Consider the following 14,190-nt stretch of genomic DNA (forward strand, 5'->3'; position numbering starts at 1 on the left):
CACACCTGTAATCCCAGCATTATGGGAGGCCGAGGCAGGTGGATAACCCGAGGTCAGGAGTTCGGGACCAGCCCGGCCAACATAGCAAAACTCTGTTCTAATTAGAAAAGAAAAAAGAAAAATTAGCTGGGTGTGGTGGCGAGCGCCCGTAGTCCCAACTACTTAGGAAGCTGAGGCAGGAGAATCGCTTTAACCCGAGAGGTGGAGGCTGCCGTGAGCCAAGATCGCACCACTGCACCCCATCCTGGGTGACAGAGCAAGACTCTGTCTCAAAAAAATAAATAAAATAATTTAAAAATTGTATCACGACCTATTTTTTACAAGTTACCCATGATGGGGCCAGCCCAGGCAAACCTCTGAAGGAGATGAACCTTAAAGCCTTTTTCCTTATCATTTCCTGGACTAGTGTTGTCCATTTAACTGAGGGTGGCCCAGGTCTGCCTTTGGTTCTTCCAAAGGTCTTCCTTCTCCCAAACTTACAAATACTTATCCCCAAGGGCTTCAGTTAGTGCCCAGTGCAGGCTGCTAGCCTGGCCCAAGAGTCCTGGCACTGTGCAGAGATGTGTATTCTGGCTTCCTTCAGCCTTTGAGAGCCTGGTGTGTCCCTGTGCTGGGTGAGCATGCCACATGCAAAAGAGGAATAAGCCACTGGTCTTGCCTTTGAAGAAACAAATTTGTAAATAATTTCATTTTAGGGTAAGTGTTATAATAGGTTGACAAAGTGTTGTAGAGTCACTACGCTGAAGGAGGGGGACAATAAAAAATACAAATGTGACCAAGGTAGGTCTTGAAGGAGGGCTACAAATTAGGTCAGATTGAAGGGGTGACAGAAGACTGGGCACAGAGAGGCAGGCAGAGACATGGAGATGCCTGTCATATGTCACGGCTATTGCACAGGATTTGGGACAATGAGGCAGAGATGAAGCTAAGGAGGTAGGTGGGCAGATGTTGGAGGAGTGGCTGTACCTGCCTTGCTGAGGGAAGCAGGCTGTGTCCTGTTGGTGATGGCTGTTGGCGAATGATTTTAGGCAGGGGAGTAGCGTGACCTCAGATGCTTTTGGTACTTCACTTTTATTGTTGATTGCACCTGCCTTGGTTATCCCCTTCCTGCCCCTCTCTAGCTCTGGAGGGCAGGCACTGGGTCTTGCTCACCTCTGGGTGCCTTGTATCATCTGGCATAGGACTTTGAAGGAACTAAATACATGCTGTTCCCAGTATCACTCGTCCCCTGGAAACAAATAGCAATGCCTAAATGCTAGAGAGGGTCACAGGATCCTTGCTTCAGGTTGTGGGGCAGGCAAGTGGGGGAGAAATTTTAAGGCAGGGTCTTGTTATGGCTCCCAATTCATCTAAATCTTGTATGGCTCAGAGACTAAATCTTAGAGCTCTTGGCCAAGATCCAAATGCTGTTAGAAATGTCAATTTCTAATAAGACCTTAGACCAATTACTCAACCTCCCTGTGCTTCAGTTTGCTCATTTGTTAGAGAGAAAATAATTGCACTGCTCTCTCAGGCCTACTGTGAAGATTAAAAGAAGATGCACATGTTTAGCATGATGCCTTGCACATACAGTGCACTGAAAAAGCCTTGGTTAACACGATCATATCAAGTCAGCAATGGCCTGTTCCACTTATCCCATAGGAACCCTTCAAAATGGTTTACATATAAGTGACACTTAAACTTTAGAGAATTCTAGGTTGACATTGAAGGGGAAGGCAAGAGGGTAGGGATAGCATGGTGTAAGGTTAAATGCACAGACTTTGGTGTATCTCCTGGCTCTACCACAGAACTCGCTGGTTGACTTTGGACAAGTCACTTAATTTCCTTCTTTCTCTGGGTGACTTTAGACAAGTCTCCTCCCTCCCTCCCTCCCTCCCTCCTTTCCTTCCTTCCTTCCTTCCTTCCTTCCTTTTTTGGCAGGGTCTCACTTTGTTGCCCAGGCAGTGGCACAAACACAGCGCACTGCAGCCTCAACCTCCCAGGCTCAAGCCATCCTCCCACCTCAGCCTTCCAGGTAGCTGGGACTACAAGCACACACCACCACGCCCAGTTAATTATTGTATTCTTAGTAGAGACGTGGTTTCGCAATGTTGACCTCTTGAGCTGAAGCGATCTGCCCGCCTCAGCATCTCTAAGTGTTGGGATTACGGGCGTGAGCCACTGCACCCAGCCTAAGTCACTTAACTTCTGTTAGCGATTGTTCTTCTATAAAATAGAAGTAGTCATATTACCTGCCCCATGCCAAGGAGATAACACATAACACATATAGCATATTGCCTGGCCCAAGGTAAGATCTCAATTCCTGTTAGCTAATGGTGTGATAATGGTTGGAAGAGAGTTATTATAGTTTTTGGAAAGAATAATCTCCATGCCTCTGCCTGCCTCTCTGCACCCCAGTTTTCTGTCACCCCTTCCAGATGACCTAACTTGTAGCCCTCCTTCAACATCTACCTTGGTCACATTTGAATGTAAGCTTTTATTGTCCCCCTCCTTCAGTGTATGTGACTGTAACTAATATATTGGAAAGGGGAAATGTAATCCTGGAAAAAACTAAACCTACATGTAAAGGTTGGTGCTGGATCTGTGAAAACTAACTGGGACAGGAGTAGAAGTGAGCTTAGAAAACTGCAGGTAGGGCATGGGCCTGAAAGAGTTTTGTAGGTAGACTTATTTAAGTTGAGAACCCCTGTCTGAACAAGGATAAGATTCTTGTAGCTCTATGGAACTGAACAAAATGGAATATTGTTTGCAGAATTGAGTATGACCACTCTCTGAGCTGCCTTCTTGGAATGGTGGAAGGCTGGTGCTTTTAAATGATAATCTGAAATTTAACCCCTAACACCACCCAACACCACCTGTGACTTTGTAGAGTCACAGGCACATTGCTAAATCGTTTAGTTTTATCAGCTAGTAAGTAAATATTTATTGGTAGCATAAGCTAGGTGTGGTTCCTTCAAGCTTGAAATATCCTTCCCTCTGTTTCTGACCCAAGGAATCCTTCTTATGCATCAAGGCCTAGGACAAGTGTCACCAGATTCACCCTCCTAGACTGAAAAAATTAATCCTTGCAACCTCTCCAATTCCCATGGTGTATTCCTCAAGCATTTTCTTGGCATCGATTTCATCCTGTCTTTATAGTTACTTGTCACAGGATCTGCCACCCCCTACTAGTTTTAAAGCTCACCCACTTCTGGGACCCCTTCTTTCTCTTGTATTTCTTCTTACCACCTCCATCCTTCTCCCCACCTCATTGATACCCAAAATGACTTATACACAATAGGCACTAAATAAATGCTTGATAAGTTGCATTGACAAACAGGTCTCTCATAGTATGCATGTTACAAAGAGCAGCACTTTTGCCACAATGAAAAAGTAAAAGAACCTTTCTCTTAAAGACATGACTTTGTCTTTAAGCTATGTGAATTTATAACTTCTTAACCACCAGAAATTGTAGATATTGCTAAAATGCTATATAATTATATCTGGCATGGTAATGTGGTTAGATGACTTATACCAGTTACGTATCAAATGTACAGCATTTAAAACACAATTTAGTCATGGTACTGAGTCACCAAAGCAAGAATTTGGTTTTTTAAATAATTTGTAAATACTGAATATTCTTTTAACTTTCAAAAGTATAAAACTTTGGCCTTGAATCAAATTGTGTTAGCAATCTCTCCACAGTCTTTAATAATGCCTTGAACTTCTACAGCTCTTTGTATTTTTCAAAGCCCTTTCACTTTGATTATCTTGTTTGATCTTCATTCAACCCTATGATGTAGGAAGCGCAGCTATTAGTGTCTGCATTTTACAGATGAAGATAGGAGGCACATGAGAGGATCAGGCCCTTAAACCAAGGCCAAATTGCAAATGACAAAGTCAAGGTTAGGACCCACGGATCTACTACACCAGAGGTATTTCATATATTCATGAAAACTGTGGCATCATTATGTATCATCTTTATGAGCAACAATCTCATATATTATAATTTATAACCCTGTGTATGTATTTTCATATGGCCTTCCTTTAAAAAGTAAAGAAAAACTGGCTGGGCACGGTGACTCATTCCTGTAATCCCAGCACTTTGGGAAGCCAGGGCTGGTGGATTGCTTGAGCTCAGGAGTTCGAGACCACCCTAGACAACATGGTAAAACCCCATCTCTACCAAAAGTACAAAAAATTAGCCAGGTGTGGTGGTGCATGCCTGTAATCCCAGCTACTCGAGAGGCTGAGGCAGGAGAATCGCTTGAACCTGGGAGGCGGAGGTTGCAGTGAGCCGAGATCACGCCACTGCATTCCAGCCTGGGTGACAGAGTGAGACTCCTTCTCAATAAATTAAAAAATAAGGAAAGAAAAAGAAAAAGTAAAGAACAACTTTTGTAGTGATCACTTCCCTCAGATATGTATGTGTCATCATCATTAGTTATTACTTCAGTGTCTTTCATCTGTGACTGTCAACATTACACTTTTTTAAAAACCTCTAGGTTTCCTCTATAACTGTTTTAGAACAGATTTTGTTATTTTGTTTAATGAAAAAAACAAATATTACTTCAAAAAATAGAGGACCTCCACTTATATGAGGTACCTAGAATAGTCAAAAGCAAAGAGACAGAAAGTAGAATAGTTGTTACCAGGGGCTAGGGAGGAGAAGGTAATAGGGAGTTACTGTTTAATGGATACAGAGTCTCAGTGTGGGACAATGAGAAAGTTCTGGAGATGTTCTGCATACACGTGCAAAACAATGTGACTGTACTTCATACCATAGAACTGTACATTTATAAATGGTTAGAATGGCTGGGTACAGTGGCTCACGCCTGTAATACCAACACTTTGGGACGCTGAAGCAGTAAGAACGCTTGAGCACAGGAGTTTGAGACCAGCCTGGGCAGCATAGTGAGACTTGTTCTCTACAAAAAATAAAAATAAAAAATAGCTGGACGTGGTGGCACATGCCTGTGGTCCCAGCTACTCAGGAGACTGAGGTGGGAGGATCACTGGAGCCCAGGAGGTCAAGGCTACAGTGAGCCATGATCATGCCACTAAACTTTCCAGCCTGGGTGACAGAGCAAAACCCTGTCTCAAAAAAAAAAAAAAAAAAAAGACCATCTTATAAGAGAGTCTTTCTGGTAGAAGAAGTCTAGTTATAATGTCATAACCCATGACCTTTTTAGTTTTATTTATTTAATCTTTGAAATTCATCTTACCTAAGAGCCCCTCTGCACCTACTGCAGAAGAGAAAACAGTAATCTGTGTAGTGACTCTTACTAACTTTTTAAAATAATCCAGAATGGGGTTGAGCACTTGTGTGACAAAGTGAGATCCTGGTAGATTATTACAGCTACTACTATTTGAGTACGTCCTACCTGCCAGGAACTAGACTAAATTCGTGTATACCCATTATTTCATGTAATCATCTAAGCAGCTCTCAGTGGTTACAGATGAGAAGCTGAGTTATATGAGGGTAGTTACTTACCCAAGGATACACAGCCTGTGCTGTTTAAAATGGTAGCCACCAGCCCCCTGGGGCTAGTGACTAGTCTAGATTGAGACGTACTGTAAGTGTAAAATATATACACACACACACCCCTCATCAGTAATTTTGTATTGATTACATGTTGAAATGATATTTTGAATATATTAAATGAAATATGTTATGAAAATTAATTTCATCTGTTTATTTTTACTTTTTAGTGTGGCTACTGGAATATTTTAAATTAAATATGTGGCTTATATTATATTTCTTTTGTAAAGGCCTGCTTGAAGCTGACTGGGTACATTCCCTACCTCAGTTTTCCCACTTGGGAGAAGAGGCAGTCAGCTCTATTTCTCATTGTTTCAGTGGCAAGTTCTCCCATCACCTCCTTCCTACCACGGTGCCACATCCAGAGAGGGACTTGTGAGTTATTGTATACAGGATAAGAGAGTCATGTTGAAAGATCTTACATCTGTGTTAGTTACTCTGCTTTAGAATTCAAAGCACAATAATTACAAAATGTTATCATTGCTACTGACTGGGGTTTTTATCCCCTGTTTATTTTCAAGTACAGAAGGACCTTTGTGTCTTTTCTTTTTTTTTTTTTTTTTTTGAGACAGAGTCTCACTCTGTGGTCCAGGATGCAGTGCAGTGGTGTGATCTTGGCTCACTGCAACCTCTACCTCCCGGATTCAGCGATTTTCTTGGCTCAGCCTCCCAAGTAGTTAGAATCACAGGCATGGACCACCATGCCCAGCTAATTTTTGTAGTTTTAGTAGAGACAGGGTTTCACCATGTTGGTCAGACTAGTCTTGAACTCGTGACCTCAAGTGATCCACCTGCCCCAGCCTCCCAAAGTGCTGGTATTACAGGCGTGAGCCACCGTGCCTGGCCAGAGGAACCTTGATTAACCATACACTTCAAGGATGAAGTGCGTGGTGCACATGAGACATACACATGAAACATAATTTTGTTACATCCCTTGTTTATTAAATTACTCATTCATGTACTTATTTCATATTATAAATACTTATTGAATGACCATTATATATGGTATATTGCTATGAAGAATTCAAAGATGAATCAGATTAGGGTTTGCTGTTGATTCTCTTTCAAAAATAGTTTATTTCCTTGCTTTTTATATTGAATATCACAGACAACGTAAGTAAAAAGCCCTGGACCGGGGGTCATATGGCCAAGAATCTAGTTCTGGTTTTATGTAAAAATCAGCAGGTCTCTTCAACTCTGAATCTCAGATTTTCCATCAATAAAAATTGGAAAGGATGGAAAAAAATATCCACTTGCCTATAGTAAAAATGTAAATAAGATCATGGTAATGTATAAATTACTATCTATCTATCTATCTATCTATCTATCTATCTACCTATCTATTTATTTATTTAAGACGGTCTCGCTCTATCACCCAGACTGCAGGGAAGTGGTGTGATCATAGTTCACTGCAGCCTTGACCTCCCGAACTCAAGCATTCCTCCCACCTCAGCCTCCAGAGTAGCTGGGACTATAAGCATGCACCACCATACCCAGCTAATATTTTGTATTTATTAAAAGATACTGAATTTGAAGTCAGAGATTTGTCTTTTCTTCTGGACCCTACTAACAACATACTGTGTGGCCTTGAATAGGTCATTTAACCTCTCCTGCCTCGGTGTCCTTATCTCTAAAAATAAGAAGTCAGGCTGCATAGATTCCAAGATCTCTTCAGCTCAAAATCCCAGGTTTTAAGAGTTTATGATTTTTAAGACAGTCACTCTCTGAAGATCAGCATTTAAATTTACCTGTCATAATTTTCATATCAATTCTCTAGTCATAGATCTTATAGGGTTTAAACATATAAAATACTAGTAGCTTTTCTGAAAATTGTGCTTACTTGTTTGCAAAAAAATCTCTGCTTCAGATTATGTTACCCTCTGCATCTTTAAAAGACAAATGGAAAAGGAAAAATATTAAAGAAATTTAAAACAACTGTTTCAGTTATCTATTGGTATGCTTGCTGCAAACCACTCCAAAATGCAGTGGTCAAATGATGATTTATAATTTCTCACGATTCTGTGGGTTGGATGGTTCTGTTGCCGCACTCACTACTTGGGATTCCTTATGCGGCTGCACTCAGCTGAGAGCTCAGCTGAGGGTGGAAGCCCCAAGATGGTCTCTCCTTCTCCTAGGCCTCTGCCCACATGGCCTCTCATTCAGTAATTTAGCCTAAGCTTTTCACATGGCTGCTGGATCCCAAGCATTGCAAGAGTCAAGCCTCAATGTGCAAGTGTTTATGTCATGCTTGCTAATGTTCATTTGGCCAAAGCAGGTTTTGTAGCCAAGTTCAGTATCAATGTGGGAGGGCCTGAATATCTGGAAGCATGTTTCATCAGGGACCACCAATGTAACAGTCTGCTGCCACAACTTCCATTCAACTGGATTCTAGTTAACTGAGATCTCATCCCTCTCTCTCATGCTCTAACATAAATCATTCCATCTTCTACTTACATGCTTTGTGCATTCTTGTATTTCTGCATATGTAACACTCCACTTTAATTATTGTTTATATTTTGGTGTTCACTCTCCAAAATGGAAGTTTCATGAATAAGGGAAGAGACAGTATCTTATTCCTCTCTCTCAATGTCCAGCATCACTGTCTCTGCATGAGGGACACTGCACTGAATTGAATTTTTGAGAACTTCACCAAATACAAAGCGCAGATCATTTCATTTTAGATTGCAGCATGGCAAGGATTCCTAACCTAGGTTCTTTATTTTCATCAATGCCTATTTGAAATTTAGCATTTCCTTCCATTATAAATGTAAGCAACAACCCACAGTAGTATTATCAGTAGATGCAACTTTATCACCAATAGAAATCTCACATTTTTATTTAACACTACAGTTGACTTGTTGCAGATATTGTAAATACTAAATTTTTAAAAATAACTTTAAAATAATTTGAACAACGATTTAAATATAATTGATTTTCTATGTAATCCTGGGTATTTTATTTTATTTCATTTAGAAACATTATTCTGAGAAGGAGCACATGGGTTTTACCAAACTTCCCAGACTGCCCATGGCAAAATAAAGATAAAGAACCCCTGCCTAGAGTGAGCACCTGATTTGGAAGACATTTAATACCCAGAAAAAGAATCTATTTTCCACCCCATAGAAGCAGCATCAGCATCACCTGGGAACATGTTAGAAAAGCAGATTATCAGGCTCTACCACAGACATTCTAACTCTGGGGGTGAGGCCAAGCAGTCTGCACTTCTGTAAGCCTTCCAGGTGATTCTGGCATGTACGAGAGTTTAAGAGCCATTAAACTAGGAAAAATAGTTGCATCTGAGGTATACAGGGGTTGCTAAAGCCTATTTAATCAATCAGTAAGTATTGATAAATACTGATGTGTATCTCCTATTCCTCAGCACTGGGAAACATACCACAAGAAAACGTTCTACATCTTCATTTGAGAGATGTATACATACGTAAAAAGACTTTAGGCTGCACACTTAAGATTTGGGCACTTTACTAAATGCATGTTATATCTCAATTTTTAAAGTAAGTATACTGTAGGAGACATATAAGAGTTCAGTGCATAATCCCTGCCTTCAAGGAACTTTTCAATCACTTTAGAAATCCATTTATCCAATCATTTATTGAGTGCCAGGCAGGGTGCTGCATGCTGGGGGATACAACAGTGAATGAGCCAGGCATGAAGTCTGTCCTCATGAAGTGTACTTTCTAGTGGGTGAGTCAGTGAAATAAACAGGCAACTCTGAAACAGTGATAACACCTATTAATTATGAATAATATCCATACTAGTTACCATATTTCATTGATTCTAAGATGCACATCTTTTTTTATAGCTTAACATTTCTGAAATAAGGATGTGTTCTGCATTCTACAATTGCCAGTTTAATTAGAAGTGTTTTTCTAATGGTACATAAAGTAATGGTTTATCTTCAGTTTAGAGCATCTTATAGATTCTAAAATATTAAGTATCACAGGAGTTCAGAGACATGTAGACCAATAAGGACTCCAGGAGTCAAAAAAGGGAAAGGTGAGACTTGAGCCACGTTAAAGAAAGAGTAGGATTTTTAAAAGAGGAATAACAGGGACAACTGGAGGTGAAGGCACCAGAGCTGGGAGAAGCAAGCCGTGATTGAGAGACACAGGTTCCAGTGGGACAAAGAAGGCGAGTGTTAGGAAGCAAAGGGAGCAGAATGGCCAGACATGTTAAAATCAGATTATAAAAGGCCTGGAAAGTCCAGCAATGGTACAGTTAAATATAACAAGCAACTGAAGATTTCTGAGCAGAAGAATGAAAGAAGCTTAAGTATGTGGAACGGACTCAGGGACAGGAGCTATATATATGTCCATTTTCAGTTTTTGGTCAATGTTTTTTGAGATTAAAGGAAGTAGATTCAGTACCCAGAGAGGTAATGTGCTCACAGCAGAGCCAAGACAAACATAAGATGACTATATACACATGAGCATGTGGCAGAGATGAATGAGCCAACATCCAACCACTCCCCAGAATCCAGTGGGAGAGCACAACCACTGGGTGTTGTTGCTCTTGAATAGCTCTACCTGAATGACTGTGCTAGACCCTGCCAGTGGCAGCAGAGCCAGCCACACCAGCACTGGGGCCCTGGCCATTTCCACCCTTAGTTGGGCCTCATAGAGAGCCCTAGGTGCTCAAAGACTCATTTATCTGCTTTCCATTTCAAAGAGATCTAATAGTTATACCAAATTCATTGAATCCTTACCACATCCCTGTAAGGCAGGTGTTACCACTCCCATTTTACAAGTGAGGATACTAAGGATCAGAGAGGTGAAGGGATTCGCACCCTAGTCTGTCTCCTCTCAAAGTCTGTTCTTGCAGCCAGTTTTCTCTGTGAGTCTCAGGTGTAAGCAGACTACCAGATCAATGATCTCGGACTCCTAGTCATGGGGTCTGGAATGGCTACTGCTAACAAAAAATGAGCTTGGAGCCCACCCCTTGCAGCAAGGTACAGCCTTGCCCCAACCTTGGCCATGCTCAAGCATCTATAAGACTGGATCTTACTATTTGCTCTACACTTTACTTATTCTGCCAGGGCAGAGAACCTGTCTTGAATCCCTGAGCCATTGACCTTCTCCTGTCAAACTCCTCCTCCTAGTTGTGGTCCTATTCCAAATTAGATGAACCCCTGCAAACTCAGCCTTGCTGCCTGCCTGGATCTGAGAGCCATCACTGTCTGGAAACTGCTGCTGCTAAGTTCCACTCCCTGACATCTCATTTCCCATTAGGTCAGGGAGTATCTAAGGCTTCAAATCAGAAACTATAGCTGTGCTCAGATTGGGATAGATCTGGCCATTAGCTAGGGGAAGTAGTAGATAAAGACAAGAAGGAATCCCAAGGAAAGTATTTAGGGACAAAGGCAAGAAGAGGAATCCACAGTCAGGCCAAAGAAGTATCAATCCAAAGAGCCTGGCAGAGAGGACGGACAAGCTGACAGGGAGTAGGACCGTAACTAACGCCAACATTAAGGAACAAGTGCATGCAAAAGGGAGGATGGAGGTGCAAAAAGCAATGACTTCCCAAGCAAGCACTTGAATATGGAGACAGGGCCTCCTTGTAGGCCTCTGAGTGTGAAGAGAATGGTAAGGTCGCCATGCTGGCTTAAACACTTGGACCTAACCTTGTGGCTGTGACTAAGCCCTCAGGCATTATCATGGAACATTGGTTGCTTTCACCACAATCCAGCCTAGTCCCAGCCTCCTCCCTCTTGCCACCCTCCTTCATTTATTCACTTACTCAACTAACAAACATTTGAGCCTCCACTAGAATATAAGTTCCATGCAGGCAGAAACATTGTCTTTTTCATCATTTTAAGGCTTAAAATCCAAAGCAGTTTCTGACACATAGTAGGCACTGGATATATTTGTAGAATGAATAAATAATTGATGAGTGTTTGGGAAATGTGCTGAGTCCTAGATTATCTTCTAGTGTGCCAATAGCCTTAAATAGAATATCAAGTACATGTTGCCGGCTGACATTCACCAACAGTAAAATTCAAGATTTTAGTAGTCTAGCAGCTGCCAGCTTGCACAGTCTTCAGTCAGATACTTTCTACATTAAGATCATTTACAAATTTCTAAGGCAAGAAATAGCATGTGGACTTGAAAGAAGGTAAAGATATAGTTTACCCATTATGCTTTATATTAGTACTTTAATCCACTTTTAAAACATCTAAAATGTACTAATTTATTTCCCTTTTTGTTTCTTTAAGTTTCCTATTTTTAAAACACTTGTGGTCAATTCTATCAATACTACTAAGTATCCGTTACTGGGTTGAAAGGAATTTTCCATAGAAAAATGCCTGGAAATTGCCAAAATTATACAGTCAAAAATTATAGAGTTGGACCACAAGACCTTTTATACTTGAGTGGAATACCAAAAAGAAAATATTGATGCAAAGCTTTAAGATTTTACTCCGGGTTACTTCTTAAGGCACTAGCTCAAATAACACTCAAAAGTTTTCAAGATGCATGTAAACTCTACGTAAGCTCCAGTCATCTATGTGCTGACTACAGGATGCTGTGGTTAGTCAGGTTGAACTTCCATCAGCCACCTTCATGTTCAGAGTAAACAAGTAACAATTCTGGGACTTGCAAAGAAACCATGGGAAACCCTGAATGGGACTTTAACTTTGAATTAAAGGAAACCACAGGCCACCACACTGCCACCCATGAACATGTTTACATTTTGTCTGAGTGCGGGTGAGTGCAAATGGAGTCTCAGTGACTTACAGAGCACTGTTTTAACTATGATGTGGTTAAAACAGTCTAATAATATAACTCCTCCAGCAGGCTGCTGAGTAGTATATGCTGGGGCCTCAGCAATACAGACAGAGGTGGGGAAGAAGATTGGAGAGGTTAGGATCAGAGCATCCAGCTGACATTAAACTACAGGGTCTGAAGGTCCACGGCAAACTTGGGTTTGTGCAGGATGGGTATTACTGACTGTTGGGTGTGTGTGAGGAGGGAAGGAACATTTATACAAGCAGGAGGCATCATTCAAAATGACATACCATCCACAGAAGATTTACCTAAGATCAGCTTTATGATCATCTTCCTTGAGGATTAGAATGTGAAAGAAAGGATCAGCCTGGGTATGGTTTATAGAATTTCACTGAAGATTTCCCACTAAAAGTCACACTGAGTGTCTTGGGGTAGAATGGTTTGTATTGAGTAACAGAAAATATTGCAATGGTCAGTGAGAACTGGCAATTATACATTTCTCAATTCCTATTTCTAAATTCTGCCATTCTAAAATAAAATAGTTGAGGCCATAGCAAAGATTTCTCCTTTTCCCTGTCCTCCAGGAAAACTAAATGAGTAAGGGAGCCAATAGAAAGTAAGCTCCTTGCTTGCTTGAGAAGCAGGTCCTGCTTAGCAGGGCAGGGGAAAAGAAAGTGCGGGCACTAGGAGAAGTCAAAGCCATGACCACAGAGGAGAGCTGCTATGGCCTGTGTAACATTTATCCTGCGAAGACGACTCCTCCAGAATCTATCCCACCCTTTCTGCTCTCCCTAGAGCGCTGGCAGAGAGACTAGCACAGCTGAGATAGGGTTTGGGACAAGCCACTTCAGGAGCTCCACTAGCTGCTACGTCCATCCCTAGGAAAAGGATGTCTGGATCATTAGTGCATTGCCCTGGGTTAAGAGGCTGGAGAATGAATGCTGCATAAATCAGTGTCACTTCCTTCTTTGTTCACTACGCCTAATACATAGCTTACTTATGTTTTGAAGTGCCTGATGCTGAGTGTGCAGCTCTAAAGGACCATGAGTTGGGAGGCCGAGGCGGGCGGATCACGAGGTCAGGAGATCGAGACCATCCCGGCTAAAACGGTGAAACCCCGTCTCTACTAAAAATACAAAAAATTAGCCGGGCGTAGTGGCGGGCGCCTGTAGTCCCAGCTACTTGGGAGGCTGAGGCAGGAGAATGGCGTGAACCCGGGAGGCGGAGCTTGCAGTGAGCCGAGATCCCGCCACTGCACTCCAGCCTGGGCGACAGAGCGAGACTCCGTCTCAAAAAAAAAAAAAAAAAGGACCATGAGGTTGAGTTATAGAGGGAAGAGAACATTTTCCTGGCTAGTTCCTAGAAGCTATTTTGCAACATGGAGCAACGGTTTGTGTTTCCAAGCAACTGGACTATCTATAGGAAGACCCCACAGGGGATGGGTAGGTGAGGAAAGACTGGAAAGAGCTGGGTCCCTGATCTCTAGCAAGATTTGGGGAAGAGGGTTGGAGCATAGCTCAGCCTAATCCACAACTAAAGTGTTAGGCAAGGAAACTGAGGCAGAAACACAACTGTATGGATTTGGGCAGCACAAAAATATCAAGAAAAAGGTGCATGAGATATCCTAGAAAGCATGAAGGCCCAGAGCCAGAGCAATGTTTTAACTGGAATCCAGGCTGTCATTTCCCGTTAGTGTAATCTTTCACAAATCTCTTAACTTCTCTAAGACTGTTTCCTTATGTATAAAATGGCACTAATCATGATTTCATAGGGATCTTGTGAGAATTAAGCAACGGAAATATTATTTTGTTAGATTGTAAGCTCCTTGGAAAGCAAAGAATGGGTCTTAGCAGCATAGCAACTGCCACGGAGAGAAAGAGTGTTTAATAAATGTGTACTAATAAGTGAAAAACTCTTAAGAAACTAATT

At 41.6% G+C, this 14,190-nt stretch overlaps 1 protein-coding gene across 6 annotated transcripts in view; it reads right to left on the minus strand.

Annotated features, from left to right (window-relative positions):
• The window catches only part of SYTL2 (synaptotagmin like 2), a 160,642-nt gene that overhangs the window by 117,607 nt on the left and 28,845 nt on the right, over positions 1 to 14,190 (minus strand). The gene's annotated exons all lie outside the window — the stretch shown is intronic.

This window comes from Homo sapiens, chromosome 11, assembly GCF_000001405.40.
Source record: "Homo sapiens chromosome 11, GRCh38.p14 Primary Assembly".
NCBI classification, from domain to species: Eukaryota; Metazoa; Chordata; class Mammalia; order Primates; family Hominidae; genus Homo; species Homo sapiens.